Source organism: Homo sapiens, chromosome 1 (genome assembly GCF_000001405.40).
Source record: "Homo sapiens chromosome 1, GRCh38.p14 Primary Assembly".
NCBI lineage: Eukaryota > Metazoa > Chordata > Mammalia > Primates > Hominidae > Homo > Homo sapiens.
Window position 1 is genome coordinate 197,638,253 of NC_000001.11, and position 18,559 is coordinate 197,656,811.

At 33.6% G+C, this 18,559-nt stretch overlaps 1 protein-coding gene across 16 annotated transcripts in view; it reads right to left on the reverse strand.

Annotated features, from left to right (window-relative positions):
• The window catches only part of DENND1B (DENN domain containing 1B), a 277,403-nt gene that overhangs the window by 133,505 nt on the left and 125,339 nt on the right, over nucleotides 1-18,559 (reverse strand). For 8 of the 16 annotated variants that reach the window (XM_011509248.3, XM_047447711.1, NM_001195215.2 and 5 more), the window contains 4 exons: nucleotides 13,983-14,063; nucleotides 8,803-8,862; nucleotides 7,438-7,491; nucleotides 4,459-4,569 (listed from right to left, as the gene is read on the reverse strand). In XM_011509248.3, coding sequence (XP_011507550.1) covers nucleotides 4,459-4,569; nucleotides 7,438-7,491; nucleotides 8,803-8,862; nucleotides 13,983-14,063 — 306 coding nt within the window. The remainder of the gene's footprint in view (nucleotides 1-4,458; nucleotides 4,570-7,437; nucleotides 7,492-8,802; nucleotides 8,863-13,982; nucleotides 14,064-18,559) is intronic. The other 8 variants (NR_125340.2, XM_005244931.3, XM_024453626.2 and 5 more) reach the window with 1 other exon arrangement.

Genomic DNA, 18,559 nt, shown 5'->3' on the forward strand with positions numbered 1-18,559 from the left:
CCAAAACAACATGCACTACACAATCAAATCTCTGTAACTAATATGCTTATAGACTTTCTGAGGGTGAATTTACTAACTAAATAATGGTCAAAATAATAGCTAACATTCAGACATCTGCTTTTAAAAGAAGCATCCCTTCCACCTGCTTCTACAGGCCACAAAGATACACTCTAGTTAACATATTACTGACAGGATGATGAGAAAGCTCCTGTCAGATGCTGGCCAGCCGGGTGTTTGAGACAAAATGCACAGCCCCAGCTGAATAGTTAGAGAAAGTCTGGTGAGGTACAATTATAGAGGCATATGACAAGGCTTCATGCCTGACTGATTTGAGAACCACTGACATGGCTTTAAACAGCAATCCAACCTACCTATGGTCACAAAACAGCAATAAGTCAACTGATACCCCCTTGTAATATCATGATTTATGCCTCTGCTTTGAATACACGAGAATCTAATATGATGTTCTGCTAGTCTACCAAGATTCGCTTGGGGCTTAAACATCTATGGCCTACCTACAGCATGGATAAAATCAATGTTCTTGTTCAGGATTACCAGAAACCGTTCCATGTGTACTTGACAATGTATAAATCAACAGAATAATGTATGAATCAACAGAATAAAAAAAAACTGATTATATCTCAATTCATTAAACTCAAACATGCAAAAATATAATAATAGGTACTAACACAATACCACACTTTAAAATATAGGGAGAAAACCTATTAGAATGTTGAAAACATAACAATATTCTTGATATCTGTGCTTACATATCTTAATTTTTTTAATTTTAAACTTTTCATCTTTTAAAGGTTAATTTTTTTTTTTTTTGACATAGTCTCACTCTGTCACCCAGGCTGGAGTGCAATGGCGTGATCTCGGTTCACTGCAACCTCCGTCTCCCGGGTTCAAGTGATTCTCTTGCCTCAGCCTCCCGAGTAGCTGGGACTACAGGTGCGTGGTACCATGCCTGGCTAATTTTTGTATTTTTAGTAGAGATGGGGTTTCGCTATGTTGGCCAGGCTGGTCTCGAACTCCTGACCTCAGGTGATCTGCTCACCTCGGCCTCCCAAAGTGCTGGGATTACAGGCGTGAGCCACTGCATCCGGCAAGAAATTATCATTTTTAACCACAAACAGCACCTAAAGAAAAGGAACCTCAAGCTAGCTGATTCTCTAATGAGAGTGTCACCACTAAAACCTACAGCAAGCTGTAAGGTTTATAATTATCATTCTCTTATAACTATGAAAAATCATGATTGTCAAAAAGTAAATAACTGAGACAAAATTTCTAAAACTACAATAGAATTATGAATGTTAGGCCACCTTTACATATATTCCTCTAAAAATTAAGAGTTGGGCTGTATACTTAAAAAATTAAAAATGGATAAAACGTTAATTTCGAACATTAAACACATTATAGTCTCCGTGATATATAAAAATATGAGTATAAAAAGCTTAAAAACAAGTAAATTCATTGATTTTACTTTTAATTTACATAAATTACTTTTAATTTATGTTAAGAAATGAGTCCTTGACCTTAAATGCCACTATGCATGGAATTTATAGCAGATATATTTTATATACTGTATATATAAAAGAATTATTCAAGACAGATTCAAGTAAAGCAGCTTCCTCCATAAAAGAAGACTAAGATCATGAAAGAGAACTTGAATTATGTTTCTTTTATCAGCCCAACGGTCCCAGAGAGTGAACCAAAACAGAGCTGGTAACTTAGAGGTGACATCACCATCAAGTTTTCATGAATTGTCATAAACAGTTGATAATAAATTGACATCAAACATAGAAAACAACTCCCCCAAAATACTAAGCCTTTATGATAACAATTTGTTTTTAAAGCCAAATACTAAGTTAAAAGATAGTAATGTTAATTTTTACTCTAACTGCAGATGTAGACTATTATAAAATTAAATGTAGAGGCCGGGTGCGGTGGCTCACGCCTGTAATCCCAGCACTTTGGGAGGACAAGACGGGTGGATTGCTTGAGGTTAGGAGTTCGAGACCAGCCTGACCAACATAGTGAAACCCCGTCTCTACTAAAAATACAAAAATTAGCTGGTTGTGGTGGCAGGCGCCTGTACTCCTAGCTACTTGGGAGGCTGAGGTAGGAGAATATCTTGAACCTGGAAGGCAGAGGTTAGAGTGAGCCAAGATTGTACCACTGCACTCTAGCCTGGGCAACAAAGTGAGACTCTGTCTCAAAAAAAAAAAAAAATTAAATATAAACTATTATAAAATTATAGCTCATAATTACTAAACATATATTCTATGCAGATATCATTCTAAGCACTTTATATATATGTATTTCCTTAATCTTTACATCAACCCTATGAGATTAAGGCTACTATTGCTCCTACTCTACACTTAAAGAAACTGAGTCAAACAGATTACTTGGTCATTAAGAGGTGGATATAAATTAAATAAAACACCAATATTTTTCAAAAACATATACTCAGATTTATTTCTAATACACAAATACAGTAGCTTATGCTTCACTCACATAGCTTATTCCCTCACTTTCTTTGGATCTCTGCTCAAATACTACCTCACTGAGTTGGGCACAGCGGCGTGTGCCTATAGTCCCAGCTACTTGGAAACCCAAGGCAGGAGGATCCATTGAGCCCAGGAGTTTGAGACCAGCCTGGGCAACATAGCAAGACCCTGTCTCAAAAAAACAAACAAACAAAATACTACCTCATTGGAGAGGCCTTCCTTACATAAAATGGAAACCTGTCCATCACTGTCTACCCTGTAAACCCACTCACTTTATCCATTATGTAACCCTAGCTAATAAATAATTGCTATTTGTTTGCTCACTTGTTTACAAACTGTTTCATGCCAGTCGAATATGGTTAATGTCTAGAAAGTGCCTGGCACATAGTATGTGCCTAATAAACATTTGTTACATGAATTAATCCTGATAAAATTTAGTTCCAAAGCCTATTATACAATCTTTTTAATTTTGAGGACAATATCCATTTAAAAATATCCTTTTTAATCTTAAAAAAAAATCATGTTTAAAAAATGAGGAGGAGGAGCTGGGGAGAAAGAAGAAGAATGTTTCACTTCAATAGTAAGTTAAAAAATAGCAGATAGGCAAATTAAAATATCAAATGAGTCAAACTGAATTTCTTGACATCTCTAAGATGTGTAAGAAAAAAATTACTTGTGTCATTGACTAGCACTTATTCTCTGATATTACTGCATCATTTATCCACCCTTACTCTTTTAAATGCATATATTTTTCAATATGTAAAGTGCATTTTCAACTTTTAGGAGTGAGCATATCAAATTACAATTCAAAATCTCAAAATCGTATTTTTGAGATTTTCGTGAATTATAAATTCATACAAATTATATGTACAATTGTATGTATTTTTTTCAATTGTAGAGTAATGGAAATAACCCAAAAATTAGAATCAAAAGACTCAATTTCACATTATCTGTCTCTAACTAGCTGTTTGGCCTTGAAGTGGTCATTTAATCTCACTGAAAATACCTTTCTCACTGTTAAATGTTAAACAGATATCCTACAGAAATCCTGAAACTCCTTCTACTTTAAATGCTAAAATACAGATTAAGGTTTTTATTTCTACTATAGGAGAAGAAAACATTAAAAATATGGTTTTATTTATCAATTAATCAAATTTGTGAGGAAGAAAATTCATAAAATATTGAATAATAGTTTTTGCTAAATAAATACATCATAGATTATCTAAAACTATATTTAAATTTGTATTTAAAAATTTAAGTTGAAAATATTAAATTTTTGAAGCTTAAATGAGAAAAAAATTATAAAATCTAGCAAAATACTTCTGAATATTTTTCTATGACCCAAGAAAAATCTTTCTCTCCCTGCCTTTACCATATTAATAAAGACCTTCCAAAAGAACATTTTAGTGAATGTCATAAAACCTGTGATTTATAAAAAATGCTACTTTGACTTTTAAGTTATTATCAGCCCAAAGAGCTGCTCTAAATCAAACTATTATACAATCTACTCCCAAACCACTACTTGGCAACAAAGATGAATCTACCTATTACCAGGTTAGGATAGCAGCTATTATCATGGCCCCTTGATTTCTTTCAAGTGGCTCCAATGGAAAAAGCCACAAGTGAATAATAAAAATCTCATAATAGCTCTTAAGAATTCTTTATATGGTAGAAGGCACTAAAATGAACTCTGGAGAGTTAAAAAGAAAAAAAAACTCTCATCTCCTGATAAGAAAAAATAATTAACCTGACTTAATGCATCTGAGAAGGCTTCCTATAAATCAGACTTTTGTACTTCAAGAGCCAGATTAAAACCATACATCAAAAACGTATGTAGATATTGTCTTATAAGTACACATAGCACATTTCTAAATCTGCAAAGGTTTTTAGGTCTTTTTGTGAAACACTCAATACCTGCTACTTAAAAGAAGTGTGAAGTACTTACAGTGCTTAATTTGCTCGAGATAATCACGATGCGCCTTTCATGCAGCATACTGGCATACAGCTGCAGCATGTTGTTCACATCCACGGCAACAAAATATTCTGTAAGATTTCTCTGTACAAGTAAAAGATAATTGTGTAAGTTACAGCTCATAGTGAATGTGAAGAAAAACATTTTACACACTTACCAGAAAGTCTTGAAGTTCAAAGGGTATTATTATTTAAAATGGTATTTATTAAAATAATTAAGTGTAATACTAGTCGGCTGCCACATAAAGTACATAATATTCTATTATTAGTTGAAACATAACCCTACTCAAGGTAAGTATTTGCAGAGGATGATCAGATCACAGATTTCCCAACTTTCTTACCCGCTAAGTATTTGAAAAGAAGCTAATTTCCTGGGACCCAACCTAGAGCTGCTCTGTTGAATTGTCATCTTTAGTGTATGTCCCCAAGAATCTGCTTTTTTTTTTTCTTTTTTGTCACCCAGGCTGGAGTGCAGTGGTGAGATCTTGGCTCATTGCAACCTCCGCCTCCCGGGTTCAGGTGATTTTCGTGCTTCAGCCACCAGAGTAGCTAGGATTACAGGTGCACGCCACCACATCCGGCTAATTTTTGTATTTTTAGTAGAGAGATGGGGTTTCACCATGTTGGCCGGGTTGGTCTCGAACTCCTGACCTCAGATGATCTGCCCACCTCGGCCTCCCAAGTTCTGGGATTACAGGCATGAGACACCACACCTGGCCAAGAATCTGTTTTGTAAACAAATACTTCTGGTGATTCTTATATACACTGATCCTTCAGAAACCGCTGCCCCAGACAATACATTTGAGTCTTTTCATGTTTGCCATTCACTATGCAGGCACAATCATCATCTGATACGACACAGCATGCACAACGTACCCAAAGGATGAGGTGAATTTATAAAACAGCCCTTTGGTACTTTATTAAGGAAATTACCTTGTTTATACTTCATGTCACGCTTGCTTTATATCCACTATAATCAAATATAATTTGATGATGTTCTAAATTGATTCCTTAATTTAGCACTCTTATCCCCCACATGAGAATGAAACTGGGATAAGCTACTACATTAACTTTGACTTTTAGATCTTCTCCTTTCTTATTATTTATTTTTAATTTTCTATAATGAAACAAATACATCAGAAAGCAACAAACTAATTAAGGGATTCAACAAGATATAACAAACAAAAACTGTAGCATCAGGTGGGCTATGACCTAGTAGGCTAAAACTTCTAGTCAGGCAAGAATGTAAGAAATCCAATTACTTCTTCAATTTCCGGAAGATAGAAACTTTACCATCACAAATTGGTAATCATGATAGAGCACATCAATAGAACCTGTAACTATCAGTGGGTGATGTTGAATTTGGTGGGAAGAGGTTTATTTCGTGCTTTCTCACCTTCCAATTCAACTCTCCATATAAAAATTCAAGTTATTCAAGATTAGTATATTTCCTATAATCTAAAAGAAAGGTAATTTTTAGATGGGGAATTATTTCTCAGCATAGAGTGCTGCCTTATGCTTATTCTCTTGCTTTCTTTTCCCTAAACAGGACTTTCTGCAAAATAAAACATGTTAATAGACAAGTAAAAATACATATTCTCAGTGGCAGTTTTTCCTTTGAATGTTTGTTTCCTTGAAACTTTCAAAGTAATCATCTTTTTTAAAATGTGACATTTGTTAAATCAAGTTATTAGTTGTTTGTTAGTAAACATAAGAGAAAGGTAAATAGGAGAGAGAGTAGACGGAAGCAAATTTGACTTTGAAACCCTGAAGTGAAGGGACAAGGGTCATATAAGTCAAGACATGGTCAGTCAGCCTTAAAGAAAACATTAACAAGGAGTACCTGGCCTACAGTGTACAGCAGTCAATACTTTAGGATCCATTATGTCACCTGAGAGCTTTGATTATCTATCTCAGGCCCATACGAGCAACTTGATGCAAAGCTTTTCATAAGGGTTTTTTGGATCCATCTGTACTGAAAACACCATCGACAGTCTTGGTTTGGTATCAGAAAATTTACTATTGGCTTCTTGGACTTCCTTCACTACCTACATGCTTTTGGAAACCAAACACTCAGTAGGTTTGAAAACATTTGGAAAAACACTAGAATCCCAAAGTAAATAATAAGTATATATTGAAATACTTTTTTCCTGTTGATTTTTCCTTTACTTTTGATTGAGTTATTCCTACTGATTCATTTTAACTTTCCAAGGGAAGCTGAAGAAAAATTACGTAAGGGAATACTTCATTTTCACATAGTTATCCAAAATCATAAAAGCATATTTGTTACTTCTACTTGTCTATGTAAACATTTCTACAAAATACTAATGTGTAATAACTATTAAAATACTGAAAATAGTTCTAGTATGGCTAGAATTAGGACTCTAAATAAAATGAAAATTTTAGCAATTTTTAAAATTTCTTACAATAGCCATCAAACCTTGCAAGATATGTATTGCTTTAAATTAAAATCAGGAAATTAAGAACAGTTCATCTACGATTTGAAGCATTATATACAAGGAATATAAAATACTATGTCAATTTCACTAAAATAATGATTTGTGTGAAGACATTTCCCATTGCTAGAATTCTTCTCCACAAGTAGAAGCCATCTCCTGAGGTATCTCTTCTATCATATACAGTGAAGCTGAAGACCTAATTGAATATATATATGATCCTACCTAATTACTACAAATGATAGAAATAGTTTTCCTTATATTATTGTCCTTAATTTTCCTTATCCACAACCAGATATTAAGAAGAAGGTAAAGGGGCAGATATATAAAGAAGAAAAGAAAATAATATCTTTATTTCTTATTTCTTCATTATTTCTCACAAACACAGATAATTACAATGTATCCTATTTCTCTATATAAAAACGCATAAACAGTGAGACCAAAATAAACAAAATTAATAATATAAGAATAATTAAAGTAGAAAATAGGAAACTTACACTCTCGGGTATTGTTGGGAGTCCAGTTACATCAGGGGCAATGAAGTAGGAATGCTAATCAATACAAATAAATCACATATGAAAAAGATAATTAAAACTGGTAACATATAATTTGTAATGAAAATCAGAAAAAAATATATTGAGTAAATTAAAAAATGCCATGGACTGACATTCAGGATTTGTTGAATTTGAGAGATTCTTAAATGAGTTAGCGGGTTTATATGAGATTTAACAATTACATTGCCATACAAAAAGTTAAGACTTGGTTAAAAATATTTGACCCTAAAATTAAAATTAAAATAGGGAAAAAATGTTAAGGCAAAAAAAGAGTATATTGCTGAAAGGTTTATTTTGTACATATATACATATACACGTATGTGTATATATACAGTATATAGAGACATACACACCTATACATACATATAAACATATATATTATTAAAACACATTTAGTTGAGGTGGACTGGAAAAATTAAAGCTTGCTAACCAAATATATCAAAATCTACTAAGATTCCTGGGCTGGGTTTCTATGGTAAGTCACAAGAAATCTCTTTTGTAAACATCAACCACCCTATTATTTAGCAAATAGCAATAAAGCATAATTTTTCAATGTTTAAAATTTCTTAAACACGTAGTAATCCCAAAATATGATTGTTACACATCTGCCAAATATTAATTAGCTTCTATAATGTTCAAAGAAGTAAAACAGTTCATCAGAATACTTACATAAAGAATACATTGTGTATATATGCCTTCATGTTTCCCACAATGTTCCCAAATTTTACCACCCAGAATCAAAGTGCAATTTAATCATCAAAAGTTTTATTTTCTGTTCATATTAATCTCCAAAATTATTTAATATCTGAATCACATAAGGACATATTTAATAATATCTTATTATTAATGATTAGAAAAGAAACATTTTAGCCAATATTTGAGCACAGTTGAACTAGTCAGAACAAGGATAGTTAACACAGTCATAATCTATAATTTTCCAGGGTAGAAGAACAATAGGAGATAAATCACAAGATCTTTTGTGATCTTGGGACCAAAAAATGTGACAAATCTTGTGCTGTGAATATACTTTAAAATTACTACTACTGAAAATGGAGAATATGCAAAGATTTCGGTCTCTATAACCTACTTTTATTTGGAATAGTTTTTAATAGTACTATATTTCATAAAACTATGCTTTAAAAGATAGTATAAACAGAAAATATTATATATTCCAAATGATTAATTTTCTTAAGAGTCAAATTCACCATTTCCCAAAGGGCTGGAGTGAAGCTTAAAGGCATAGTGAAATAAGTGATTATTTTTCCTATTTAATAGTGATTTTTAGAAGCCAATGTCCTTTTAACTCACCGGTACTAGAGCAGGCTGATCTTTCAGAACTTGCTCACAGGCAATAAATATCTCTTGGTTCTTATAATACATGAGAGAAAAAAATGAATATTTTACTTTCATGGGAGAAGCTTACACAACAATTTGCTGTGTAATTGAGACAAACCCATGTAGCCAAGTTAGCCACTAAAAAATACTTGAATAATACTAATTATAAGTATTATTTTAAATGCTGATTTGCTAATTTTATGCTAGAAAAATCCTAATGAAAGTATTTTCATATTACAAGAGTAGAGAATGCTGTGGATATTTGACGATTTTGAAATGTTTCAAAAAAAAGCATTCTCATTAGACATTAACTTTTTATAAAAATCTCTGATTACTAATGGCCATTATCCACTTGTACAGGAACAAAAACTTACATAATCATCCATTTTAATCTTACATCATAAAACTAAAATCTCCTCTAGTAGCTGAAGATAAGTGTCCTAGTCCCAAATTTGTCACTTATTTAACAGTATAACACTAAATACAGTACTTTAGGAGTCTGTTATTGAAATCAAATGCAATTAATAATTCATAGTAAACAAACATTAACAGCTGATTTTATCAATACTTAAGATATTATAACTAGGCCAGATGCAGTGGCTCACGCCTGTAATCCCAGCACTTTGGGAGGCCAAGGCGGGCAGAATACCTGAGGTCAGGAGTTTGAGACCAGCCTGACCAGCATGGTGAAACCCCATCTCTACTAAAAATACAAAATTAGCCCGGTTTGGTGGTGGGCGCCTGTAATTCCAGCTACTCAGGAGGCCAAGGCAGGAGAATCACTCAAAACTGGAGGCAGAGTTTGCACTGAGCTGAGATCACGCCATTGTTTTCCAACCTGGGCAACAAGAGCGAAACTCCACTTCAAAAAAAAAAAAAAAAAGATATTATAACTTTAAAATAGGTATACAAGACTTGAAACTATAAGACTATTAATTCAAGTGTGTATAAGAAGGCTTAATTATGAAAATAACTATTATACATAGGAACAGAACACAGCCACTCAAATTCCTTTGACAAGATTATTTCAGCTACAATTTAGCTATTTCAGAAGAAAGTATTTTCTCCATATGAGATGAAACTTCAATTTGCTACCAACCAACACCTGAATAGCTCTTCACAGTATATCTAGATATATCATTTTATTTGATTACCAAAACAACTTTCTCAAAAGTTGACATGCTCAATTTCTCAAATGGAAAAAAAAGGATCATCTAAAGAGATTAACTTTCTTGACTAACATTACACACTTAGTGACTGTAACTTAACCCAAAATCTTCTAATCCTAGGTAAAAAGGGGTAGAAATCTTTAATTTATGGTTCTTATTAATAAAGATGAAGTGTTTCAATAGCTGGTTTTTTTGAGATGTACTTTTGTATTTATTTACCCCTGAGCAAATATGATACTCAAATTTAAAGGGAGAACACATTTGTATTTCTCATTAATGCCACCTCCATTGTCTTAGCACCTTTATTTTCCTTAACTCTTTAAGAGTGTTAGAATAACTTTATAAATATAACACTTTCAAAGAGAAATTACCATTTTTTGGAAAATCCCAGGCTCTTCTTTATTCTCCTTGACCTTTCCCTTGGTCTTTCTATTGTATTTCCACTGACCATAAACCTTGGATTCTTTGGGCATCAATGACCTACAAGTCTAAGTTTCTCCTTAACTGCTCTTTCCCCCAATTCTTTCACTGGATCTCCTTTCCTTTTCCCTATAGCCTATTTGGGCAATTAGAACTTAGCCTCTGCTCTGTGCTCTTCTATATTTTATCCTTTAAATAGCTACAATGATGTCTGCTGCTGACTCCCAAATTTGGGTTAAAAATTCCAGGTTATCCTTAGTTTTTTATCACCCAGTCTACAAATGACTATTAAACCTTTCCACTTTGACAGTGTGCAACAAAAGAAGATGCAAACATAAAGCAGCAGAGAGGGTCACAGGAAAGAAAAAACACTGCATTAAGTTGTATGACAAGAGGTTTCACAAAGTTGAAGACTGAGCAAGTTCTAGACTAACAACACATAGTCAACAAAGAGGCTTTAGTCCAAAAGGAAAGCATGATGTTCATTCAAGAAGCTGAACAAAACAATGTGACCAGAATAGAGGAGGAAAATTAAAAGTTGGATTGAATCTAAGAAATGGATGGTCCTGAAAGCCTGGCCAACGTTTTAACAAATTCTATAGAAAATGGGGAGCTACGAAAGGTTTTCAGCAGGGGACTTTATATAGCTTAAGTAACTTTCATCTGACAGTCTTTTGTAGAAATGACTGGAAGGAGAGAGGCTCTAGACTAAGAACTCTTTGAAGTACTAAGCACCAGAACTAAGGTGCTAACCACCTTAGTCTACTACTAATAGTAGTGGTTAAAGAATGGAATAATGTAAGAGAACACTACTATCACATGAAATCACAGGATGAAATTTGCTCAAGACACATGGACCAATGGAACAGAATAGAGAACCCAGAAATAAACCCAAATACTAACAGCCAACTGATCTTCGACAAAGCAAACAAAAACATAAAGCAGAGAAATGACACTCTTTTCAACAAATGGTGCTGGGATAATTGGCTAGCCACATGTAGGAGAATGAAACTGGATCCTCATCTCTCAGCTTATACAAAAAGCAACTCAAGATTGATCAAGGACTTAAATCTAAGATCTGAAACTATAAAACTTCTAGAATAAAACACTGGAAAAACCCTTCTAGACATTGGCTTAGGCAAGGATCTCATGACCAAGAAACCAAAAGCAAATGCAATGAAAACAAAGATAAATAGTTGGGACTTAATTAAGCTAAAGAGCTTTTGCAGGGCAAAAGGTACAGTAAGCAGAGTAAACAGACAACACATAGAATGGGAGAAAATCTCACAGTCTATACATCTGATGTTCAGAATCTACAATAAATTCAAACAAATCAGTAAAAATAAACAATCCCATTAAAAAGTGAGCTAAGGACATGAATAGACATTTCTCAAAAGAATATATTCAAATGGCCAACAAACATGAAAAAAAAGCTTAACATCACTAATGAATCAGGGAAATGCAACTCAAAACCACAATGTGATACTACCTTACTTTTGCAAGAATGGCCATAATCAAAAAATCAAAATACTTTTGTAAACATCAGCCACCATATTATTTAGCAAACAGCAATAAAACATAATTATTCAATGTTTAAAACTTCTTACACATGTAGGTATCCCAAAATATGATCCTCACACATCTACTAAACAAATATTAAACTGATCACCTGATCACCGCATCCCACGTCAATAGTAGATGTTGGCCTGGATGCGGTGATCAAAGAACACTTCTACACTGCTGGTGGGAATGCAAACTAGTACAGCCACTATGAAAAAACAGTGTTGAGATTCCTTAAAGAACTAAAAGTAGAACTACCATCTGATCTAGCAATCCCAGTACTGGGTATCTATCAAGAGGAAAAAAGTCATTACATGAAAAACATACTTGCACACACACGTTTATAGCAGCACAATTCACAACTGCAAAATCGTGGAATCAACCCAAATGCCCAGTAATCAACAAGTGGATAAAGAAACTGCAGTATATATATATGATGGAATACTACTCAGCCGTAAAAAGGAATGAATTAACAGCATTTGCAGCGACCTGGATGAGACTGAAGACTATTATTCTAAGTGAAGTGCCTCAGGAATGGAAAAATCAAATATCGTATGTTCTCACTGATATGCGGGAGCTAAGCTATGAGGACGCAAAAGCATAAGAATGATATAATGGACTTTGGAGACTTGGGGAGAAGAGTGGGAGGGAGGGTAAGGGATAAAAGACTACGAATATGGTGTAGTGTATACTGCTAGAGTGATGGGTGCACCAAAATATCACAAATCACCACTAAAGAACTTACTCATGTAACCAAATACCACCTGTACCCCAATAACTTATGGAAAAATTAAAAAATTAATTAATTTTTAAAAAGAAGAAAGTTATTACCAAAGAAAATACAATAAAGATAACAACTTCCCTGTCTCATAAAAACACAAAAGACTTATATATACTTTGAGTTAGCTTTCCTCTCATTTTCTCTTGCGACATTATATTTTTTATTCTTTATTAGGAAAAGTTTATTATTTTAGAAGAAACAAAATTAATATAAATAAATTTTAATAGTCTAGCCCATATGCCAAAACCATGAAGAAATTAATAAAAAATCCATATTTTATGATTTTGAACTTTAAGCATTTACAAAAACTCCCAAAACATGAGTGTTTTTAGATATAGATGGTACACTTCGTTAAAAGTTTCAATAGTACAATAAATAATCTATCCCATCACAGGCTTGTTGTCTGACAAACAAAAATTCAATCATATTTCCAGTATTTTGTGATTATACTAGAAGACATATTACTGTATAGGGAAAACAGATGAAACTTTTCACCCAGAATTTTTATCACATATTTATATGTTATATGTCATTTTCTATTCTTACTAAGTACCGTTTTCATTTTAGGAGGGTTATTAAGCATGTGTGTATATTCCTTTATTATGCACGGATTTCACCTGAAAATCAATGCTTCTTTTTTTTTTTTTTTTTTTTTTTTTTTTGAGACTGAGTCTCACTCTGTCACCCAGGCTGGAGTGCAGTAACACGATCTCGGCTCACTGCAAGCTCCGCCTCCCGGGTTCACGCCATTCTCCTGCCTCAGCCTCCTGAGTAGCTGGGACTACAGGCGCCTGCCACCACGCCCGGCTAATTTTTTGTATTTTTAGTAGAGATGGGGTTTCACCGTGTTAGCCAAGATGGTCTCGATCTCCTGACCTTGTGATCCACCTGCCTCAGCCTCCCAAAGTGCTGGGATTACACTAGCATGAGCCACCGGGCCCAGCCAAATCAATGTTTCTTAAAAATGAAATATCCTCATAGATTTGGTTACTTTTAGTTTACAATAAAATTTTTTAAATTCAACACACCTGATATATGAAGTTATGATAGTTACAGCATGTTAAAAAGACACAATATTATCACCTTGTTATGTTAGTACTAGCAATGAAGTCTTCCTGGAAGCAGAGATGACTTGGTAAAGAATTGCCTGAAGGTACACGTGCTCTTAACGAAATTGAGACATAGCTATGACTCCCAAAAACAATTACTGATTGAATACTTACCACACTCAAATTTACAGGAGTATTTGCCTTTGGTACTGGGTGGTTATACAGTGATCTGAGAGTTTCATTCAAATCATTTTCCTAGGGCAAAAGAAAAAGTACATTTTATAAATAAAACATATACCAAGCAACTGCAATTAAAACTATTTGATAAAATAATCTACTATGGCTTTTCATATTAGACATATTTTATATAAATGTTTTCCACAGAAACATTTCAAATACCTGAAATTCAAATATTTGAGTCTAAAAATATGAAAACATATTTAAATCCCTTTATCCAGAAGAATAATGGCAATATTTCTATTTAGTATAAACATGTATTTGAAAAACTTAATTATTATAAAATATACTAATGCTATAAAAGTAAATTATCTAAATCATTAAATCCAATAAGAACTGGATTGAATAAAAATAGTAATACAACTTTTTATCAGATCACAGAGTACTCTTATTTTCCATTTCATTTTAAAATCCCAAAGCAATTTTTAAGGAATAGAAACAATTTAAGTAAGATTATTTCACTGAAGTGCAATGTAGAGGTTATTCTAAATATTTCTTTTCTACATTGCTACTGGTCACTACTTGACCCACAATAAATGGGATTAAATAAAACATACAACAAATCTACTTCATAGGATTTGTATAATAATAATGTGCCTTGATGTGCACCCTCAATTTTTCTGCATCACATACTACAAATCCAGTAATAAATATACAAAGATTTTTATAGACATAATTATCCTTATTCTCTATTTTCATATTGGAAAGAATAAATCAAAGGAAAAGGCAATTGTTCAGAGAAGTTAGCAATTTTAATAAGTTTGGATACGAGATATAGACTTCTCACGATCTTTCTTATGCCTTGTCTATCCACTTATACCAAAACTTAATAAATCAGAACTCTGTAACTACTTTCAAAAGTATTCATTCAAAACTACCTATTTGAAGTACTCTTCAGAATGACATAAAAAGAACAAAAACAATGTATTTCTTGATCATTTAAACAACGAAATGTATCAGAGAATACTGTAGATAATACCATTCCCCTTTGTAAAAGAGGCTCATATGGTTGTTTTAGAATTACCTTGTGCAAGGACTGCAAAATAAACAATTTACCTCTTGGACTTTTAAACAATGAAGTATACCATAGAAAATTGTGGCTCATATTGATATTCTGTTTATACAAAGTTCTTATAGGTATAAAAATTTTTAGACTAGCTTTTAAAAATTCTTTGCACTTTCTTACATTGATCAAGTAAGGATAACTTGAACTGTAAAAGTTACTTAAATAACCTATGGCACTGAATTAGAAATGAACAGAAAAAAGTACTACAATTACAGATTTATTTCTGGTTTAATTAATGCTATAAACTTATTTCTTCCTCAAATAAGGAACACAAATGGAGCCTCCCCTATTTCCTCTTCTCAGAAAGCCAAAATTATATAAATTTTCTCATAGCTATTTTCTTTTATGTATTCCAGTATTACTGATGGTTTCAGGAAAAAAAAAGATACACACTATGGAGATAATAATAATTTATCAGTAAGAGTTACTAAAAGTTACTAAATAAAGGAAAAGTATTCAAAATTTGGACAACTAATATAATTAATGTGAATTCCACATGTACATTCACAAAAACAAAGAACAAGAAATTATCACGAATAATTTAACCAGAATTCTGGTTTTGACTTTTCATTGCAAAAAAATAAATAGTAGTATTTCCACTTATTTTCTTAGGCAAGTGAATGTCTGTACAGCTTCAACATAAAATTATTCAACTGTAAAATGATGTTAAGATATACTTCATAGAATTAAGCAATCAAATATATACAGAAAAATATTTACATGCACAAACACATACACATAAACAACTAGACTTTTGACAAACATTAAAACTTGCAATTACATTATAAAAAATTGGTTGACAATTTTAGAAGAGTAAAAGGACTACCTTAATTTATTAATAACACATTTAAATCCTATTTATATAAATAATACCTCCCTTACTTTCCAAGTGACAGAACTGATTATCTGACTGATAAACACTGTACTTTAATCAAAGTCACAAGGATATTAGAAAATATAACTTAGGCCGGGAGTGGTGGCTCCCGCCTGTAATCCCCAGCACTTTGGGGGGCTGAGGTGGGTGGATCAAGAGGTCAGGAGTTTGAGATCAGCCTGGCCAATACAGTGAAACCGCGTCTCTACTAAAAATATAAAAATTATCCAGGCGTGGTGGTGCATGCCTGTAGTCCCATCTACTTGGGAGAGTGAGGCAGAAGAATCTCTTGAACCTGGGAGGTGGAGGTTGCAGCGAGCCGAGATCGCACCACTGCCCTTCAGCCTGGGCGACAGAGCGTGACTCCGTCTCAAAAAAAAAAAAAGAATTTAAATCCAGGATTTCAGGGTTCAATCAAACCACATTGCCAAAAGTCCAGTTACCTTTGTATTACCAATACTGCATTAAGCTTCCTGGGAACATTTATAAAGATTTTAATTCTAAGGTGACTATACTCACCTTTACTTGCGACCACCACCACTTAAGGCAAATGAAGGATTTCAGCTGATTTATCAAAATCATTAATTTTTATTCTTACAAGCTTATTTTCAAATATAGTCTGCATCCATGTTTAACATAGTGCCTGTTTCACCATACTGGGCAGACAGAAATGTCTATACCATTTTAGCTGAACTGTATCTACCAAAGCTATATAATTTTTAAAAATTAAATAAAAATTCAAAATACTATGCCCAGGAGGATATTTTGCTCCAGACTCAGTCAACAGAAGTTTTAAAACAATATAAAGAAATAAATGATTGTATACTGAAAAGCTGAAAACAAGCTTTTCCTATGGAAAAATTTAGAGTGAGGAAAATAACATTCTGTCTTACTATATTCCTATTTTAAAAATTCCATCAACAATTTTGTCTATCATTGACGTTAAAGCATGGGCACACAGAATCCAGTGAACAAAAAAGTCACAATAGCTGGATATTAGTTTCTACAATTATAAAATGGAGAGCCAAAAACTGAATATTAGAAACTTTCTAACGTATTTTTACTTATTCTACACCTTTTGACTCAATATCTATTTGCTATGGGAGACACAGAGATAGAACAGTTCCAATTCTCAATTATTACTTTAGTTGTGTAGACACAGAGTTACAACCCAGTGTAAATGCTCTTGAAACCTACAGAAAGCATCACCTAACTTAACCTGGAGAGTCAGGAAAAGTCTCTAGAGAAGTACTTGTGCTGAAATTAGGTTTGTTTCAAAAGATAGCTACATTAACTTTTTTTTTTTTTTTTTGAGACGGAGTCTCGCTCTGTCGCCCAGGCTGGAGTGCGCTGGCGCGATCTGCGCTCACTGCAAGCTCCGCCTCCCGGGTTCATGCCATTCTCCTGCCTCAGCCTCCTGAGTAGCTGGGACTACAGGCGCCCGCCACCACACCCGGCTAATTTTTTTGTATTTTTAGTAGAGACGGGGTTTCACTGTGTGAGCCAGGATGGTCTCGATCTCCTGACCTCGTGATCCGCCCGCCTCGGCCTCCCAAAGTGCTGGGATTACAGGTGTGAGCCACCGCGCCCGGCCCATTAACTCTTAAAAGATAAGTGTTCTACCAGTAACAATTAGTGAGTGGTCTGTAATCTATCACAACTGTATAGAGTTATGTTCTGGGAACTTTAAGTGGCTCAAAATAATTAGATAGTACATTATGTGCAGCAGATGAGTGGGAGCAGATTAATTTGAAGAGAAGGTCAGAAGCCAGATCATAAAGTTATTATATGTCATGCTGCATACAAGTTTAAATTTTATTCTAAGAAAAAGAGGAGACTATGAAGCGATTGTAAGCAGTGGAATAAAATCAGTTTTCAGAAAGTTCATCTTGAAGAGAAAAGAGTCTTCAAGACTCTTTTCATCTCTTCAGACAAAGAGTGTGTCTGAAATACCCATAAATAGTATCTAGAGAAAAGAGAACCAAGAATATAACATAAATAACACCAAAATTTTAGGTGTAGATGGACAAAAAAGGCCCAAAAGAGAAGGTGAGGACATAAGTAAAACAAAGAAAAGACAATGTCAGGAAAATCCAGAAAAACACAATGTCAAGAGTGACAGAGTACCAAATAAGAATTTAAACAGATAACCAGAGAATGGAAAGTACACCCTAAATGTAAAAATTAATAGACAATAGACAATTATAAAGAATTTTTAAAACACATTTTATTTCAATTAAATTGTATCAAATAGCATAGCTAATATTTTAGTAAATTAGCTCTTGTTAAAAACATCAAAGAATGGCCAGGCTTGGTAGATGGGAAGCAGAGGCAGGAAGATCCCTTGAGGCCAAGAATTTGAGACCAGCCTAAGCAACATAGTGAGACTCTATCTGTACAAAAAAAAATTAAAAAATTAGCTATTTGTGGTGGCACACACCCATAGTTCCAGCTAATTGGGAGACTGAGGTGAGTGGATTGCTTGATCCTAGGAGGCTGAGGCTGCAGTGAGTGATGATTGTACCACAGTGCTCCACCTCTGGGCAACAGAGCAAGACTCTGTCTCCAAAAAAA